Raw genomic sequence first — 19,309 nt, 5'->3', positions numbered from 1 at the left:
AAGGCATGATTTCCTGGCTCTAGTACCCACTGGAATATTTACTCTGTATTCATGGGTCAGAGCAGCCTCACTACTGAGTCTAATTCAGATCCCTAGAGCCCCTGGCTGGTGCTTGCCACGTAGGCTCCAAGCTCTAGAGAGGAATAAATCATCTTTTACATCTGTTTCAACCTTTACTGTTTCAACTGTTGCAGGTCACAATGTACTTTCACTGGAATTTCAATTTGATTCTAACAATTGCCTTATCTGGGGTTAAGCAGGGCAAGTGTAATGTCACAGACATTTTATAGATGAGAAACTAGAAACACAGAAGATGCCCCAGGTTGTATCATGGAAAAATAAGGAGTCAATATAAGGTACTGTTGAGTTGTACTAACTACCCCTGTTCTACAACTATGATTCCTAACAACACAATAGCAGCAATAATAGCTTATGAATCCTATGTTATGAGCTGACAGCAAGAATTCAGTGCACATGAGGAATGCTTCTAATTTTATTTTGCATCTTCAGTTAATTGTTCACTGGCAAGTATCTCCTTTTGAATGGAATCAGCTACATAATTGGTGGGGCCTAGTGCAAAATGAAAATGTGGGGCCCCTTTTTCAAAAATTATTAAGAATTTCAAGACAGTGACAGCAGAGCATTAAGCCAAGTATGGAACCTTTGTAAGCAAGGGGCCCTGTGCAAAAGCCCCTTTTGCTCATGAAGTTGGCCTTGCTTCTAAACCCTCAAGAAATACCTAAGTCTTAATGTAAGGTTTCACTGTAGGGACAAGAGAGAAAACAGGTCATTGGTTCTCTTATTCTTCTCGTTGCAAAAAAAAAACATTCACTTTGTTACTTCTTGTAAATCTCATATCATCAAGAGTATCATTAGAATCAGGGATGTGCCATAATTCCTGGTTGACAAATCTCGATTTTATGTTATTGATTCTTGAGATAATGTACTTCCTGTGAAATTTTGATGCATCCTGCTGACCTCCCAAATATAATATAAAACAAAAACTAGAGAAGCTGCTCAATCTTCATTCCTTCCCTTCTTAGACCCTTCAGTCAAGAAAAGGTATACTGATTATGTTAAGACTAAACTAAGCCTTGACGAGGAGAACTCCATCTGTCAGCTTACTTATGAAGAAAAACAGAGTCATTGAAGTCATAGCTTCACACAAGACAGTGCTAAGCAGTTCTCCCAATGGAGGTACTAGACCTTTTCAGTCTGGAGAGATCTGGTCTGTCCCAGCCCTGGCCCCACATGTCACCATTCTTCCCTAGCCCTCCCACTTCCAAACCAGGAAACAAAGAACAGAATGCCAGGAAAACCATGAAATACCAATTATGAGGAGATGTATAATGAAATGTTATTTAAGAGGACTCTGATAAAATTTTAAAGAGAATCACATTTTAAGTTTTGTAAATACGATAATATATAGAAAAGGTGTTTTCATTAGGCCAATGTCTTCCAGTTTGACTTTCTGCCCTCCATGATCCTTTTCTCTTGATAAATGACTTGGTGTATTTAATCAATTCTAGGATGCATATTTTTTTTTAATCACACTTCATATTACTGAAATCAGAATGGATCTTATAATCAATGGAATTTTACAGTCACTGTGGGCCAGAAGGTGGTTGAATAGGGGTAGACATTGTCTGTTTATGCTCAAATTTGGTCACGGCTGTTGTTATATCATGATACATAATAAAAATATATATCTAAATAAGTCTAAAAGAGCTCATTAGTAAGTATAAAATTAAAATTCTATGAATATGAAAGCATTACATCATAGTTTATCTGGAAGTGTATTTTTCTCTTAATGTTACATAAAAATAATTACATAAAAAAGTTTCACATGTGGATGGGGGTGGCGGCTTACGGCTGTGATCCCAGCACTTTGGGAGGCCAAGGCAGGCAGATCACCTGAGGTCAGGAATTCGAGACTAGCCTGACCAACATGGAGAAACCCCATCTCTACTAAAAATCCAAAAAATTAGCCGGGCGTGGTGGTGCATGCCTGTAATCCCAGCTACTAGGGAGACTGAGGCAGGAGAATCGCTTGAACCCGGGAGGCGGAAGTTGCTGTGATCCAAGATCATACCATTGCACTCCAGCCTGGGCAACAAGAGCGAAACTCCATCTCAAAAAGAAAAAAAAAGAAATCAGATGTGATTAAATACTTCATGTCTTCAATAGAATGCATTATCCACCACTGGAATTATGAAGAGTCTGAAAAGCTTCACATGTAACCACCAAGAAGCCTTTCAAAGTTCATATGGGAAAGCGTCTAGGTACTAATAGATGTTTTTTCCAATATTCTTACTGGAATATTACTTTTTAAACTTTTTCTTGCTTACTACTAAAAATCCCCCAATATGGAAACCCAAAAACTAGTAAAAGGCACACGTTACATCAGAATAGCAGTATACTGAACCAGATTAGTGGAAAATCAATTTTTTCCATAGAAGTGGTTTTAGGGAAACTTAGAGAGATTTCCAATATAAACTTTAGACCAGCACTGTCATATAATATATACAATGTGAGCTTCACAAGTAATTTTAAATTTTCTTGTTGCAACATTTTTTAAAAGTCTAAAAATCAGGTAAAATTAATTTTAGTGAAATGTACTATTTAATTCTATATCATCAAAATATTATTTCAACATGTAATTAACATAAAATATTAGTGAAATACTTTATGTGTCCTGTCCTTGAAATCCAGTATGTATTCTATACTTACAGCATATCTGTTTGTACTAGCCACATTTTAAATGTTAAATAGCCACATGTGATTGTGGCTCCCAAACTGGACAAAACAAGTTTAGTCAAAATATGTATTTATCAACAAAACAAAAACATCCCTTCCAGGACATTTTGCTCAAACATGATCACTCACAGAAGCATCTGGCAGAAATTCAAAAGTGACAACTACTTCCATTGCATGGTTGTGAACATAAACTACAATAAATGGGTTATTCCAACAATTACAACAATATATTGTTCTGGAACAATCTTGCAGGAGACAGACTAGAACGGTGGTCTTCACACTAGGCTACTGTTACACAAATTCTTTTCAAGAAGTATGTGAGTAGGAACAGTATCAATGAATCCACTTTCAGGTGCTCAACTCTTACGTGTATTCTCTCTTAAAATGAATCTACCTAAGAACACCATTTTTTCCCACATGCTTAAAATTAAGCATTATTTTCCATCTATTCTCAACATTAATCACAAACGTGTGTCATCAACTGGGAAAAAAAAGAGCATCTCCTAACTAGTTGCAGTATATATTGCTGACACTGATTCTTTTCAACACAATTGGACTGTATTCTAGTACTAAAAAATATTTAGACTTTGGTAAAACTTATGTATAGAAATGGGCAATACCACCACTGGGTATTTACCTAAAGGAATAGAAATTAATATATCAAAGAGATACATGCACTCCCATGTTTATTGCAGCACTATTCACAATAGCAAAGATATGGAATCAACCTAAGTGTCCATCCACAGATGAATGGATAAAGAAAACGTGGTACATATAAACCATGGAATACTACTGGGTCATAAAAAGGAATGAAATCCTATCATTTGCAGCAACATGGATGGAACTGGAAGTCATTATCTTAAGTAAAATAAACCAGGCACAAAAAGACAAACAGTACATATTCTCACTCATATGTGGGAGCTAAAAAAGTTGATCTCATGGAGGTAGAGAGTAGAATAATAGACACCAGAGACTGGGAAGGCTGTATAGGCAGGAGGGGAGGGATGAAGAGAGGCTTATTAATTGATACGAACACACAGTTAAATAGAAGGAATAAGTTCTAGTGTTGGATAGCATAGTAAGGTGACTATAGGTAACAACAATGCATTGTGTTTTTCAGAATGGCTAGACGAGAGGAGCTGAAATGTACCTAACACAGAGAAATGATAAATACTCAGGTGATAGCTACCCTAAATACCTTGACCTGATCATTACAAATTCTAGGCATGTAACAAAATTTCACATGTACCTCATAAGTATGTACAAATGTATCAAAATTATTTAAAAAGTTAAAAATTAAATAAGAAATTATGTAATTTATTTCAGAAATTATGTGATCATTGTATTAAACTTGTTAGAACCTGTTTTCTCAGACTGTATCGTAAAATATCTTTTCCAATTAAAATCAATCCTCAGCCGACTGCGGTGGCTAAAGCTTGTAATGCCAGCACTTTGGGAGGCCGAGGCAAATGGATTGCTTGAGTCTAGGAGCTCGAGACCAGCCTGGGCAACATGGTGAAACCCTGCCTCTATTAAAAAGACAAAAATTAACCAGGTGTCGCGGCTCGCACCTATAATCACAGCTACTCGGGAGGCTGAGGCACGAGACTCACTTGAATCCGGGAGGCAGAGGGTGCAATGAGCCGAGATTGCACCACTGCACTCCAGCCTGGGCAAAAGAGTGAGACTCTGACTCCAGAAAAAAAAAAAAAAGAAAAGAAAAAGAAAAAAGAAAAAAGCATCAATCTTCATTTCATTTTATAAATAACCTTTATACTTTCTACCTCCTATTATCAAAAATAAAATGATATGCTAGTTTTATATTTAGCAAGTATTTTTTAGACTCTTTCATAAAATATCGTTAAAAAGTTTGATACTAGGCCGAGTACAGTGGCTCATGCCTATAATGCCAGCACTTTGGGAGGCCTAGATGGGCGGATCACGAGGTCAGGAGATCGAGACCATCCTGGCCAACATGGTGAAACACCGTCTCTACTAAACATACAAAAATTAGCTGGGCGTGATGGAGGGCACCTGTAATCCCAGCTACTCGGGAGGCTGAGGCAGGAGAATAGCTTGAACCTGGGAGGGGGAGGTTGCAGTGAGCCGAGATCAACTCACTGCACTCCAGGCTGGCAACAGAACGAGTCTCTGTCTCAAAAAAAAAAAAAAAAAAAGAAGAAGAAGAAAAGAAAAAGAAAACTTTAATTCTATGGTCTAATGAAGTTTATGGATTTGAAAAAAAAATGTATATGCTATTCTTAGTCAATTATTCCAAGAAATTCAACTCCAATGTTCTAAAAACACATACATACATATTTACATGAGAAATTCTGCCTACCTTCAGATTCCTTGTTTCATGTATGACTTATAATGGTAACCACATACTACATTGTTTAATTTAAAATTATATATCAGAAACAAAGTTATTATTTAATTTCTTAATTTATTTTGAAGTGGATAAAAGCCTCATATTTATTTTAATATGATATTTACTTTGCTAGTTATTTAACAAGGTGCTCCATAATTGATTTATCCATGGTTTTAATAATGCACCTCAAAACGTATATTAATATTTTTTCCTTGAAAAATGAAGTCAGACACTTTTTCTGAAAGTAAATCTGATTTTGTTGATTATTTTTATATGAATACTGCCTTTGCCAAATAAATTATGAATATTTCCTATAAAATTGTTAATTCAAATCTGTAGCCTCAAGTTCTTATATTTATAGAATATAATAAATTAAAGGCTGGGCGTGGTGACTCATGCCTGTAATCCCAGCACTTTGGGAGGCCAAGGCAGGCAGATCATCTGAGGTTGGGAGATCGAGACCAGCCTGACAAACATGGAAAACCCCGTCTCTGCTAAATATACAAAAATTAGTTGGGCGTGGTGGCACATGCATGCAATCCCAGCTACTTGGGAGGCTGAGGCAGGAGAATCGCTTGAACCCGGAAGGCAGAGGTTGCAGTGAGCCGAGATTGCGCCATTGCACTCCAGCCTGGGCAACAAGAGCGAAACTCTGTCTCAATAAATAAATAAATAAATAAATAAATACCATTTTATCAAAATTATCGTATTGGCAAAGACATATTGATCTAAGTACTTTGATTTTCACAACCTTTTATGTGTATAATGAATTTTAAATAATGCCTCAAATGAAAATATAACATATAATAGTTATGTAATAAATTTGGGGAAAGCCATTTTAGTAAACTTCCCAGAAACAGAAAAAAAGTGACTGAACAACAAATCCTTTAGTAAATCAGAGGGTTTCTTTGCTTTCACAGAATTAAAGATGGGTCTAATCAAGTTGTCTGTTAAACATCAAAAATTTAGTTAAAATTTTTTTAATCATTAAAAATTATTTTTGATGACAGGTCACTACATGATTATTTATGGGAACAAAATTTTCTGAGTTCTTTTATCTATAAAAATGAAGGACAGGAACTGAAGTCTGGCTCATTAGAAATAAGTAAGAGTCATTCTCCGATTCAAAAATTAGTTTGGGGAAAATAAAATCATATTCACTTAAGAGATGTATTTTTGGCCAGACAGGGTGGCTCATGCCTGTAATCCCAGCACTTTGGGAGGCTGAGGCGAGCGGATCACCTGAGATCGAGAGTTTGAGACCAGCCTGGCCAACATGGTGAAACCCTGTCTCTACTAAAAATACAAAAAAAATTAGCCGGGCGTGGTGGCACGTGCCTGTAATCCCAGCTACTCAGGAGGCTGAGGCACGAGAATTGCTTGAACCTGGAAGGTGGCGGTTACAGTGAGGTGAAATTGCGCCACTGCACTCCAGCCTTGGTGACAGAGCAAGACTCTGTCTCAAAAAAAAAAAAAAAAAAAAGATGTATTTCCAACCAATTTTACTTTTCATTTTACTGATTACTTACCAAATGTGTAATATTTTAAGTTCTTCTGATTGTGTACTACTAATAAATTTATGATAAAAATTTTAATCTTTTGAGGCATAGAGTCACAGAAATTTTTTTTCAATTCTTGTATGCTTTTTGCAGGCATGTATGGTAAGGTGACGAATAAGGGGCCTTTAAATATTGAAAATGTATTCATTATTATACATTATGTGAGGGAAGTTGAATGGAATGGCAAGTTCAAGGAGATAGAAACATTACGTAAAATTTCTGACTGCTAAAGAAGACCTTGTTCATGTTTTTTTAAATCAACAATTATGAATATCAAATGGGTATGGTATTTTTATTTCATTGCATGCAAAAATTTGATGAAACCAATTTATTTAAAAGTCGGAGTATTCATAATATGCTGGAAATATGTTACAAATACTTAAATTTATGATAAGAAATTTCAGGTGTTCACTTCAAGATGTGTGATGGAGTAGACCATTTTCCAAAATGATGTTAGGTGGTAAATAATTAGAAAGTACAAAGATCACTGCTATAGAACACGGTCTCAATGAATTCCACGGGGAAATTTGGGACGGCAGGGGGAAAAGTTAGAGAGAAAGATTTCTTTTTATTTTATGACTTTTTAAAAATTTCTACATATGTAGCAGAAATCGCTATAACTTGATGTATACGTGCTTATTCACCAGGGTGGTTACACAACCTTGCAATGAGTGAAGTTTTAGGGACGTTTCTGAGCAATCCACAAATACGGTACTTACTCAGTTTGGTCACTAGGTGGCAAACGTGCACAGGGCACGAAGCCCTCTTCCCATTCTTGCACTCTGCTCTCAATCTTCCATCTCCTCCTGAAAAGAGGAAAAGAATACTAACGACAGTAATAACAACAAACCACACTAGCAGGAAATATTTGTTTCAGGTCTTTCCATTTGCCAGAGACAGTAATAATCCCTTATCACCGCTGAGAATTTCAGAAATGACCTTGTTTGTGGATGTAATCTATATTACATTAATAAATTATTCTTTATTAATACCTTTACAAAAAAAGTTGATTAATACATCTCTATGATATAATCATGCAGTTTGACCACAAAAACCAAATCCTATCTAGCTAAGCACTTTGTACCAAAACCAAAAGATAACAGCAATAAGCAGCAACATCTATGACATTCTAAGCACTGGGCTAAGCCCTTCATTTCACTACATCTTCAAAGAACTCTAAAAGATAGGTGCTAATATTACTCTCATGTTACAGGTGAGAAGACAAGAAAATGACCTCAAATCATTGAACTAGTAAGTGATGGAGCTGGGATAAAAATGCAGGTTTTTTTTTTTAACTTCAATAGACATGCATTTAAATATTACAGTTTGACATTTCAGTGGGGTGTGTGTCTGTCCATGTATCTTTCTATATGTGGCTATGCACATGTTTCTATTTCTGTGATTCCATGTGATGCTATATCTCTGATTCTGTGCACGCGAAAGCGCATGTGCACGTGGGTTTGTGAGGTGTGTGCATACTCACATGTGAACTCAAAATCTTTTAGAGATCCTTCTGGTAATGTCCACATCTACTTTTACACAGTGTATTTAGCAGGAGCTTGATAATTTTCATTCTCTCTTGAAGAGACTAAGACAAGGACACGTTAAAAGTCACAGCCTCGGCTGGGCGCAGTGGCTCATGCCTGTAATCCCAGCACTTCGGGAGACCAAGACGGGTGGATCACCTGAGGTCAGGAGTTTGAGACCAGCCTAGCTAAGATGGTGAAACCCCGTCTCTACTAAAAATACAAAAATTAGCCAGGCGTGGTGGTGGGTGCCAGTAATCCCAGCTACTTAGGAGGCTGAGGCAGAGAACTGCTTGAACCTGGGAGGTGGAGGTTACAGTGAGCTGAGATCACGCCACTGCACTCCAGCCTGGATGACAGAGCAAGACTCTGTCTCAGAAAAAAAAAAAAAAGTCATAGCCACCTTTGTAAAGGTGCTTCTTCGTGGTTAGGTGTCTCTGCTTTTCATATGTATAAATTGCATGTGTCTCTAATGTCTGTGCGTGTGTAAATCTGTTTCTGTTTGTGGCATGATTAAGTCTATAAATGCATCCATATACCTACACTGGCACATGTATACGTGTATATACATATATTCAATGTGCATTTAGGACTTGTATGTCACGAACATAGATTTGTAGAACAGTGTGGATATGTGCATGCCAACGTGTGTGTATGTTGACACGTGAGGGTGCAAGTCTGTACATCTGTGCATTTGTGTGCCAGTGGATGTCTATATGTACATATGCATGTCTAAAGTGTGTTTAGGTAGGTATTATCTATAGATATATGTGTATGTCTCTTACATGCTTAGGATGTAGTCTGCTTCGGTATTTCTGTGTGGGTATACATGGCATCTGAGTGTACATCTGCCTGTGCATTTAAATGTCTATATATGCAAGTACATTTATAGAGCTCTTTATGCATGGGCCTGTAATGGTTTTTTTTGTTTTTGTTTTTTGTTGTTGTTTTTTGAGGTGGAGTTTCACTCTTGTCGCCCAGGCTGGAGTGCAATGGCTCGATCTCGGCTCACTGCAACCTCTGCCTCCCGGGTTCAAGCGATTCTCCTGCCTCAGCCTCCCAAGTAGCTGGGATTACAGGCGCCTGCCACCACGCCCAGCTAATTTTTGAATTTTTAGTGGAGACGGGGTTTCACCATGTTGGCCTGTCTGGTCTCAAACTCCTGACCTCGGGTGATCCACCCGCCTCAGCCTCTCAAAGTGCTGGGATTACAGGCACGAACTGCCACGCCTTGCCTGTAATGGGGGTTTTGAGTGTGTCATCATTTAAGTGGGTGAAATCCTGTCTTGTTTGGGGGCTGTAGCCATGTCTAGGTGTACATATGTAAGTTTGTGGGACTGTATCTGTATTCACCTGTATTTATCTCTGCACGAGTCCAGGCATACAAAATGGCATCTGTGTCCATGTGGACGTTTTGTCCTTATGTTTACTGCTTGCAAATATTCATCTCTGTGAGCTTCTGCATGTCTATGTATCCATGTGTACATAATATACATATATTCACGCATTGGGTGTGAGTCGGTGTCTGTGCCTGTACATTCTTGCTTGTTAGATTAAGATGCCAGGCATCATTTAATCCTTACAACAGCCTCGAAGGCAGGGAACACCATCATCCCCAATTTATAAGTGAGGAGCTGAAGATTGGTGAATTAAAGTACCTTGCCTAAGGTCATATGGCCAGTAAGTGGCAGAGACAGAATTCAAAACCAGGTCTGACAGACACCAAACTCATATTCCTTGTGCTCTACCACAGAGCATTTCAATACCTAATGTGCCCAGGTAATAGCCCCAGGGAGTGGTAGAGCCAGGATTGGAAGCAGGCAAGTCTGCCTCTAAATTCTATGTTCTGAACCTTGATTCTTTCCTGAAGTTATCTCATTTAATCCTTGGAATAGTCTAAAAGTAAATATTGCATCCATGTTTACAAATAGGTAAACAGACTCAAAGAAATGAAGTTGGCTGGGCGTGCTAGCTAATGCCTGTAATCCCAGCACTTTGGGAGGCCAAGGCAGGTGGATCACCAGGTCAGGAGTTCGAGACCAGCCTGGCCAATATGATGAAACTCCGTCTTTACCAGAAATATAAAAAATTAGCTGGGTCTGGTGGCACGCACCTGTAATCCCAGCTACTTGGGAGGCCGAGGCAGAAGAAGTGCTTGAACCCGGGAGATGGAGGTTACAGTGAGCCGAGATTGCACCACTGCACTCCAGCCTGGGCAGCAGAGCAAGACTCCATCTCAAAAAAAAAAAGAAAGAAAGAAAGAAATGAAGTCACTTGTCAAAGCTCTGTGTGAGCATGTAGGCCCTCTCTCATATTCTGTGGAGCAAACAATATGGTGTTGGGTATTCAATGTAACTGACTGAGTTTGTCCCTTATGAAGTGAATCTGAATGTTCTAGAGTGAGCATACCTATCATGCTGCTTTTTCTAGGTGTTGTAAGGCCTTCCGAGTATTGTGTAACAAGTCTGGGAATTATGGGAGCTAGCTGTGAAATATGGGGCAAGTCTATGCGTTGTGGACTGAGCATGTGCGTTGTGGATTACATTTTCCCTGTATATGCCTGTTCCGCATCATGATATGAGTCTAAGGTATGAGTATATAACGACCATGAGGCAAGCCTGAGTGTTCTGGGGCTAGTTTCTCGGTGAAATGACATGTCTCTGTGTAGTGGTGCAAGGCTAGATGTTGTGGGTCAAGTCTGGTGAGGTGAGGTAAGTCTCAGTGTGGCAGAGAACATCTTTTTGTTACAAGGGAAGTCTCTTTGCATTGGGAGTTGGTTCTATGTGTTTTGGAATAATGAGCTTTATGTTTTGGCATGAGTCGTTCTGATAGGAAAGTGGGTGATGATCAAGTATGTGGGTTATTCAAAGTATAGGGAAGTGTAGGTCCTGTGAGGGAGTTTCTTGTGGTGCCGATCTGTGCCAAGTGGGATACATGTCTTCACTGCGAGGCTGTTCTCTACATTAAAAGAGACATATATAAAGGCCAGGTGCAGTGTCTCATGCCTGTAATCCCAGCGCACTGGGAGGCCGAGGCGGGGGGATCACTAGGTCAAGAGATGGAGACCATCTTGGCCAACATGGTAAAACCCCGTCTCTACTAAAAATACAAAAATTAGTTGGGCACGGTGGCGTGCGCCTGTAGTCTCAGCTACTGGGGAGGCTGAGGCAGGAGAATCGCTTGAACCCGGGAGGCGGAGGTTGCAGTCAGCCAAGATTGTGCCACTGCACTCCAGCCTGGTGACAAAGCAAGACTCCGTCTCAAAAAAAAAAAAAAAAAAGAAAAAAGAAAAGAAGAGGCATATATAAATGGCACATGGGAAAGCTGTGGATTGTCGTATATTTCTATATATTTTTTCTTTTTTCTCCTCAAATTCCTTTTTACCTCTCAAATTCCTTTTTACCATAGGCTATCTCTATAAAGCATGGACCCAGTTGGTCATCGGCATCTGGTTTGGGGTGAGCATGCTTTGTGGGAGTGATTCTAGGTGCTGTGACTTTTATGATTATGATTTTCTGGATTCAATTATATGCAGTGCTCGGGTAGTCTACAGAGTGTGGATCATGTCCTCACATTGTAGGGCATGTCCAGGTGTTGTGGTCTATACATGACAGTCTGTATATTGTGGGATATGTCTTGAAGTCATGCGGTGAGACTATATATTTTATGGGTTGATTCTGGACAGCTATAGTAAATCTCCATGTGATGGGGCAATCTTTGCATTTTATAGTGTGTCTCTGCGTTACAGGAAATCTATGTGTTTGTGGTTTGTTTTTTTTTCTGAGGGTGGTAGTCCCTCAGGAATGAGGCTCTGTCTGCACCTAGTATGGCATTTCTGGAACTTGCGGTCCAATTCTGTGCATTTTCGGGCAATACTATATGATACAGGCTGATTCTCGATGTGATATGAGGTGTGTCTTGGTGTTGTAAAGAGAATGTGGGTGGTTAGAGGCAATTCTGGGGTGCAGGCGAAGGTTGTGTTTGTATAATACTATAGGACCGCTCTGTGTGCTACAAGGTCAGCCTGCATTATAATGCAATTTTGTGTGTTGTGGGGTATGTCAAGTTATAATTAAGCATGTCTTGAACTGTGGGTTTTTGTGTTGTGTGATGGCTTGTTTTGTGGGGTGATTTCATGTGATAGGATGTGTCTGTGGATGACAGGGTGTGTGTCTCAGTGTTGTGCGGCAAATCTGTACATTGTGATGCTTGTTGTGAATTGTCACGTACATTTTTATGTTTTGTAGGTCACTTATTGGCGTTGTGGGGTGGTGTGAGGTTGTGATGAGATTCTGTGTGTTCTAGGAGAGTCTGAGTGTTGTGGAGCACGTTAGTGCACTGTGGGGAGAATCTCACATGGGTTGAGTCTGTATGTCTAATTTGATTCTAAGTGTTTTAGAGTAAGTCTGCATTTGGAAGAAAGTCTGAAAATGATGTGGCAATTCTGAGACTGTGGGGAATGTCTATGAATTTGCAAGATATTTTGTACATTGAAGGACACACCTTTCATTAGAAAGTTTTCCACGTTGTTGTGGGGGTAAGTACACTGTAGGCTGTATCTAGGGTTTCAGTCAAGGGTACCTCGTGGGGTGAGGCTGCATTGTAAAAGGCATGCCTGGTGAGGAGCGTATCCGTACAATATGGGGTAGGTCTTGATCCTGTGGTGCAAGTCTGTGAGTCCTGGGGTAATTCTGGGTGTTGGGGGGCACATGGTTTTTTGTGGGGCATTTGCATTGCAGAGTGATTTTGTGCATTTGGGGGTAAATCTGTGCATCAGAATGCAATTTTGTGTTTGTAGGAAAACCTTTCTGTCATAGGGTACATGTGTCCTCTGTAAGTTGTATCTAAGTACTGTGGAGTTAGTTTGTGCATTATAAGATAACATGTCTTTTTCTTTCTTTCTTTTTTTTTTTTTTTGAGACAGAGTTTCACTCTTGTTGCCCAGGCTGGAGTGCAATGGTGTGATCTCAGCTCAGTGCAACCTCCACCTCCCAGGTTTAAGTGAGTCTCCTGCCTCAGCCTCCCGAGTAGCTGGGATTACAGGCATGCGCCACCATGCCCAGTTAATTTTGTATTTTTAGTAGAGATGGGGTTTCCCCATGTTGGTCAGGCTGATCTCGAACTCCCAATGTCAGGTGATCCGCCCGTCTCGGCCTCCCAAGGTGCTGGGATTACAGGCGTGAGCCACCACGCCCGGCCTGTAAGACATGTCTTAATGTGGTGTGGCAAGACTGTGAGTTCATGGGTAAGGCTGGATATTTGGGATCTCTTCTTCTCATAGTGGAATAATTGTCTGTTGTAGAGTGAGGCTGTGTATTGTTAGGGAGATTTTTGCATTATGGAACTTATCTGTGGGTTATAGGGCATGTCCTGGTGTGAGTATGAGCAATACAGGGCAAGTCAGTTTCTTGTAGGTTCACTGTAGGCATTGTGAGGAATATGTGTAGTACTCTGGTACATGACTGGCTCTTCAGGCAACTTTAGGTGTTACGGTAATATTGGATTAGCTGTGGGGTAAGTCTTGGCATTTTGTGAATTTTTGCACTGTGAGGTAAAATTGTTCACGGTCGGGCGTGGTGGCTCACGCCTGTAATCCCAGCACTTTGGGAGGCCAAGGTGGGCAGATCACCTGAGGTCAGGAGTTCCAGACCAGCCTGGCCAACATGGTGAAACCCCGTCTCTATTAAAAATACCAAAAATTAGCCAGGCGTAGTGGCGGGCACCTGTAATCCCAGCTACTCAGGAGGCTGAGACAGGAAAATCGCTTGAACCCAGGAGGCGGAGGTTGCAGTGAGCCGAGATCACGCCACTGCGCTCCGGCCTGGGCAACAAGAGCGAAAATCCATCTTAAAAAAATAATAATTGTTCATTGTGACGGGGTTCCATGGGCTGTGCTGGGAGTCTTATGTCATGGAGCATGTATGACATAGTAAGTTGGTCTAGGTGTTGAGTGGTTAGTGTGGAAGTTATGGAGACACCAATGTGGGCTCATATGCATGTTGTGGAGTGTTTCTTGGTGTTGTGGTACATGTCTGTGTGTTTGGGTGCAGGTCTGGTGGCTCTGTGCATTCTGAGGTAATCATTTGCTTTGTGGGTAAGTCTCTGCATTGTGGGATAATGCTATAGGTAAGAGGGAAGGTCCGTGCATTGTAGAATGAATTTGAAAGTTGGGTAGAACTCCATACAGAGTGGGGCAAGTCTGTTTTCTGCAGTACATCTTAGACCTGCTGCACAAGACTATGCTGGCAGCGGGTGATGGGGAGGAAGGCAAGTCTGTGTTTGAGAATGTGAGCAGATGTTGTGTATCCATTAATTATGGAGTATATGTTTTGAGAAATGCTTATAAGTTCTTATGCAATACTTCATGGTTCTGAGAAATCTATATCTTACAAGGCATGTTTCTGTATTGTGAGGTGTATCCAGGAGGTGTGGAAGAAGCCGTATATCTTGGGTGGAGTGTCTGCTCTGATGCAATCTGGGGTGCTGTGAGGTAAGTCGCCATTGTAGGAAGAGCTCGTGATGTTATGGAATTCTGTGCATTGCTTAGGCAATGTCTACGTTGTGAAAGAGTTGTCTGTACATTGTAAGGTGTGTCTGGCCATTGGGTGACAAGTGTGAGCTGTGAATTTATTCTAAGTGAGGGCAAATCTACGTGTTGTGCTGCATGTGTTCTGGGGTGGGTTTATGCATTTTGGGATGAGTGTGAGTGTTTGGTGTAAATTTAGGAATTGTGTGATAAGTATGGGAGGTGAGTCTTTGTTCTGTAGGGTAGATCTGAGTTGGTTATAATTGTGCATTATGATGCCATTCTTTGGGGTCAGTGTATGTCGTGTAAAACGTTTGTGTATTTTGGGTGTGTCCATGTGTTGGAAGGCATGTGCGTGCGTTGTGGGGCATGGACATGTAAATATATTCTGTGGCCAGGCTGAGTGTTGCAGGGTAAATGTGTATGATATAAGGTACGTGTGGGTGCCATAAGGTAAGTCTGAAAGTAGTGAAGCGAGTCTGGGTGCTATGGAGCATGTCTTTGTGGTTTTTTTTTATTTGTGTGTGTTATGTGAGACAAGTGTTGGCAGTGTAGAAAAAGTTTGTGAATTGTGTGGCATGCCCCTGTATTGTAGGACATGTCTGTTAGTTGTGGATGATGTTTGTGTGTTTTGGGCTATGTGCGTATGTTGTGAAGCAATCAGTGTTATTGAGTGAGTATGAGTGTCATAGTGTGAGTCTGAATGCTGTGCAGCAAGTCTGGGTGTCATGGGATGTGTTTCTGCGTTGTCTGATTTGTCTGTGTTGTTCATCCTTTCTGTGTTCTGTGAGGTAAGCCTTCATGTTATGAAGACAAAAAGTTGTTTGGTAGGGCATATCTGTGGTTGTGGGCCACATCTGAGTGTTGCTCTATCAGTCCCTGTGATTCAAGGTAGGTATAGGTCAATGGGCCAAGTCTGTATATCATGGCGTAAGGCTGGGTATTTTGCAGCAAGTCTTCAAACAATGGGTATGTCTGGGTAGTGTAGGTTTCATTTGTGTGGTTCAGTGTTCATGTGTGTTGTGAGTCAAGTTTGGGTGTTACAGAGCTCCAAAAGTATTTCGTTGGGTTAATGTGCATATGATGGAGACAATCTATTTCTTTGGGGACATACCTGCGTATGCATATGGAATGTGTCTGTGTGTGTATGGAATGTGTCTATGTGTGTGTACGGAATGAGTCTATGTGTGTGCATGGAATGTGTGTGTGTGTGGAATGTGTCTGCGTAAGTGTATGGAATGTGTCTCTGTGTATGGAATTAGTCTGTGTGTGTGTATGGAATGTGTTTGTGTTTATGGAATATGTGTGTGTGTATGGAATGTGTTTGTGCGTATGGAATGTGTGTGTGTATGGAATGTGTGACTGTGTGTGTGTACGGAATGTGTGTGTGTGTATGGAATGTGTGTCTGAGTATGTGTACGGAATGTGTTTGTGTGTGTATGGAATGTGTGTCTGTGTATGTGTATGGAATGTGTGTGTGTTGGTATGCAATGTGTGTGTATGGAATGTGTGTGTATATGGAATGTGTGTGTGTATCAAATGTGTGTCTGTGTGTATGGAATGTGTCTGTGTGTGTATGGAATGATTCTGTGTGTGTGTATGGAATGTGTGTGTGTATGAATGTGTGTGTGTGGAATGTGTCTGAGTGTGTGTAATGGAATGTGTCTCTGTGTGTGTATGGAATGAGTCTGTGTGTGTATACGGAATGTGTATGTGTATATGGAATGTGTGTGTGTGTGTATGGAATGTGTGTGTATGGAATGTGTCTGTGTGTGTATATGGAATGTGTGTGCGTGTGGAATGTGTGCGTGTGTGTATGGAATGTGTCTCTGTGTGTATGGAATGAGTATGGGTGTGTGTATGGAATGTGTCTGTGTGTGTATGTAGGGAATGTGTGTGTGTATATGGAATGTGTCTGTGTGTGTGTGTACTGGATGTGTCTGTGTGTGTATGGAATGTGTGGGCATGGAACGTGTCTCTGTGTGTATGGAAGTGTGTGTACACGGAATATGTGTTTGTGTGTGTGTGTACAGAATGTGTGTCTGTGCGTGTATGGAATGTGTCTCTGTGTATGGAAGTGTGTGTGTGTATGGAATGTGTGTGTGGAATGTGTGTGTATGGAATGTGTGTGTGTATGGAATGTGTGTGTGTGTATGTATGGAATATGCCTCTGTGTGTGTATGGAATGTCTGTGTGTGTATGTGTGTGGAATGTGTGTATGTGTATGGAATGTGTTTGTGTGTGTGCATGGACTGTGTGTGTGTGTATGGAATGCATGTCTGTGTATGTGTATGGAAAGTGTGTGTGTGAGTATGGAATGTGTCTGAATGTGTGTGTGTATGGAATGTGTGTCTGTGTGTACAGAATGTGTCTGTGTATGTGTATGGAATGTGTCTGTGTGTGTATGGAATGTGTCTGTGTATGGAATGTGTGTCTGTGTGTACAGAATGTGTCTGTGTATGTGTATGGAATGTGTCTGTGTGTGTATGGAATGTGTCTGTGTATGGAATGTGTGTGTGTATATGGAATATATGTGCGTATCGAATGTGTGTGTGTGGGTATGGAATGTGTGTGTGTGCATACAGAATGTGTGTGTGTATGGAATGTGTGTCTGTGTGTGTGTATGGTGTGTGTCTGTGTATGGAATGTGTGTGTGTATGGAATGGGTAACTGTGCATGTGTATGGAATGTGTGTGTATGGAATGTGTGTGTATGTGTATGCAATGTGTGTGTATGGAGCGTGTGTCTGTTGCTATGGAAGGTGTGTGTATGGAATGTGTGTGTGTATGGAATGTGTGTGTGTGCATGGAATGTGTGTCTGTGTATGTGTGTGTGTATGTATGTGTGTATGGAATGTGTGTGTATGGAATATGTGTGTGTATGGAATGTGTGTGTGTGTTTGGAATGTGTGTATGGCGTGTGTGTATATGGAATGTGTGTCTATGTGTGTGTATGGAATGTGTGTATATGGAATGTGTGTGTGTATGGAATGTGTGTGTGTATGGAATGTGTGTGTGTTTATGGAATGTGTGTCTGTGTATGGAATGTGTGTGTGTGTATGGAATGTGTGTCTGTGTATGTGTATGGAATGTGTGTGTGTGTATGGAATGTTTGTGTGTATGGAATGTGTGTGTGCGTGTATGGAATGTGTGTGTATGTGTATGGAATGTGTGTGTGTGGAATGTGTGTGTATGTATGGAATGTGTGTGTATGGAATGTGTGTGTATGGAATGTGTGTGTATGGAATGTGTGTGTATGGAATGTGTGTGTGTGTGGAATGTATCGAATATGTGTCTGTGTGTATGGAATGTGTGTCTGTGTGTATGGAATGTGTGTGTGCACGTGTATGGAATGTGTGTGTGTGTATGGAATGTGTCTGTGTCTGTGTATGGAATGTGTGTATCATGGAACCAGCAGGGATCTTGTTGTATGACTTTCTGTAATTTGAGGTGAGTACTGCTGTATATCTGCACATTGCAAAGTTGTTCTGTATGTTTTCAATCCTTTTATATCTTTTGTGTGTGCTCTGAAGCAAGTCTTGGTGTGAGAGTGTCATGAAGTTTTTTTCTTTTCTTTTCTTTTTTTTTTTTTGAGATGGAGTTTCCCTCTGTTGCCCAGGCTGGAGTGTAATGGCACAACACTGCAACCTCTGCCTCCCGGGTTCAAGCGATTCTCCTGCCTCAGCCTCCCGAGTAGCTGGGATTACAGGCGTGTGCCACCACGCTCGACTAATTTTGTATTTTTAGTAGAGACGGGGTTTCTCCATGTTGGTCAGGCTGGTTTCAAATTCCCCACCTCAGGTGATCCGCCCGCCTCAGCCTCCCAAAGTGATGGGATTACAGGCATGAGCCATTGCATTTGTTTTGCCCGGCAAGTTTCTGTGTTGGGGGAAGGTTTGTTGGGTGTGGAGTATTTTCATGAGTTGCGGGGGCGAGTTTGCATTATGCCTGGCTGTTGTGAAGCTAGACTGGGTGATATAAGGCGTGTCTGGTTTTGTGGACTATCATGGGTTTCATGGGGTTAGATTTCATGTTGTGGAGGGAATCCGGGTGATATTTATGTATGTTAAGGATTTTGTCTGAGTGTTCTCCAGCATGTCAGACTTGTGCTATGAGGCGAGTCTTCGCACTGTAAAAGCAAGAAGGTATTTTATGGAGCTACTCTGGTGCTGGGGGGTAAATATGTGTGTCAGAAGATGATGCCTGTTACTTTGTAACAGATTCGGGTGATGAATGCTGTGTCTGTGAGGTTGTTTTTTTTTTTTTTTAACTGCAGGTGCACTGTCCAGCATTTCTCTGTTCAGTGAAGCTAGTCTTTTTCTTCTTGACACCAAAAAGGTGTTTGTGGGGACAGTGTGCGTGTTGTGTGATGAATTCATATATTAGAGGGCATGTTTGTTTATTGCGGGTATTAATTCTATCTTATCGGGCCAGTCTAGGTCCTGTGTTATGGGGTGACTCTGGATGTTATGAGGCATACCACTACACTCTGGGGTTTTCTGAACTTTGTCCATTGTTTCTATGTGCTGTGTGGAAAGTCTTGATGTTGTGAAAGCAAAAAGATGCTTTTT

The 19,309-nt window shown here is 40.7% G+C and overlaps 1 long non-coding RNA gene across 5 annotated transcripts in view, besides 1 other annotated feature; it reads right to left on the bottom strand.

The window, feature by feature from the left end:
- Nucleotides 1–19,309, bottom strand: part of LINC00632 (long intergenic non-protein coding RNA 632) — an 81,599-nt gene that overhangs the window by 49,987 nt on the left and 12,303 nt on the right. For all 5 annotated transcript variants that reach the window (NR_173144.1, NR_173140.2, NR_173139.1 and 2 more), the window contains one exon: nt 7,407–7,493. This is a non-coding gene — a long non-coding RNA (long intergenic non-protein coding RNA 632). Of the gene's footprint in view, nt 1–7,406; nt 7,494–19,309 lie in introns of those variants that run through there.
- Nucleotides 17,532–18,033: an enhancer, noted in NCBI's record as "NANOG hESC enhancer chrX:139805503-139806004 (GRCh37/hg19 assembly coordinates)". NCBI's record gives its function as "activates a minimal SCP1, AML or CMV promoter by ChIP-STARR-seq in primed H9 embryonic stem cells {active_cell/tissue: H9 hESC(primed)}" and the evidence as "EXISTENCE:reporter gene assay evidence [ECO:0000049][PMID:30033119]".

Source organism: Homo sapiens, chromosome X (genome assembly GCF_000001405.40).
Source record: "Homo sapiens chromosome X, GRCh38.p14 Primary Assembly".
In the NCBI taxonomy this organism is placed as follows: Eukaryota; Metazoa; Chordata; class Mammalia; order Primates; family Hominidae; genus Homo; species Homo sapiens.
This window is presented reverse-complemented; position numbering and strand designations above follow the sequence as displayed.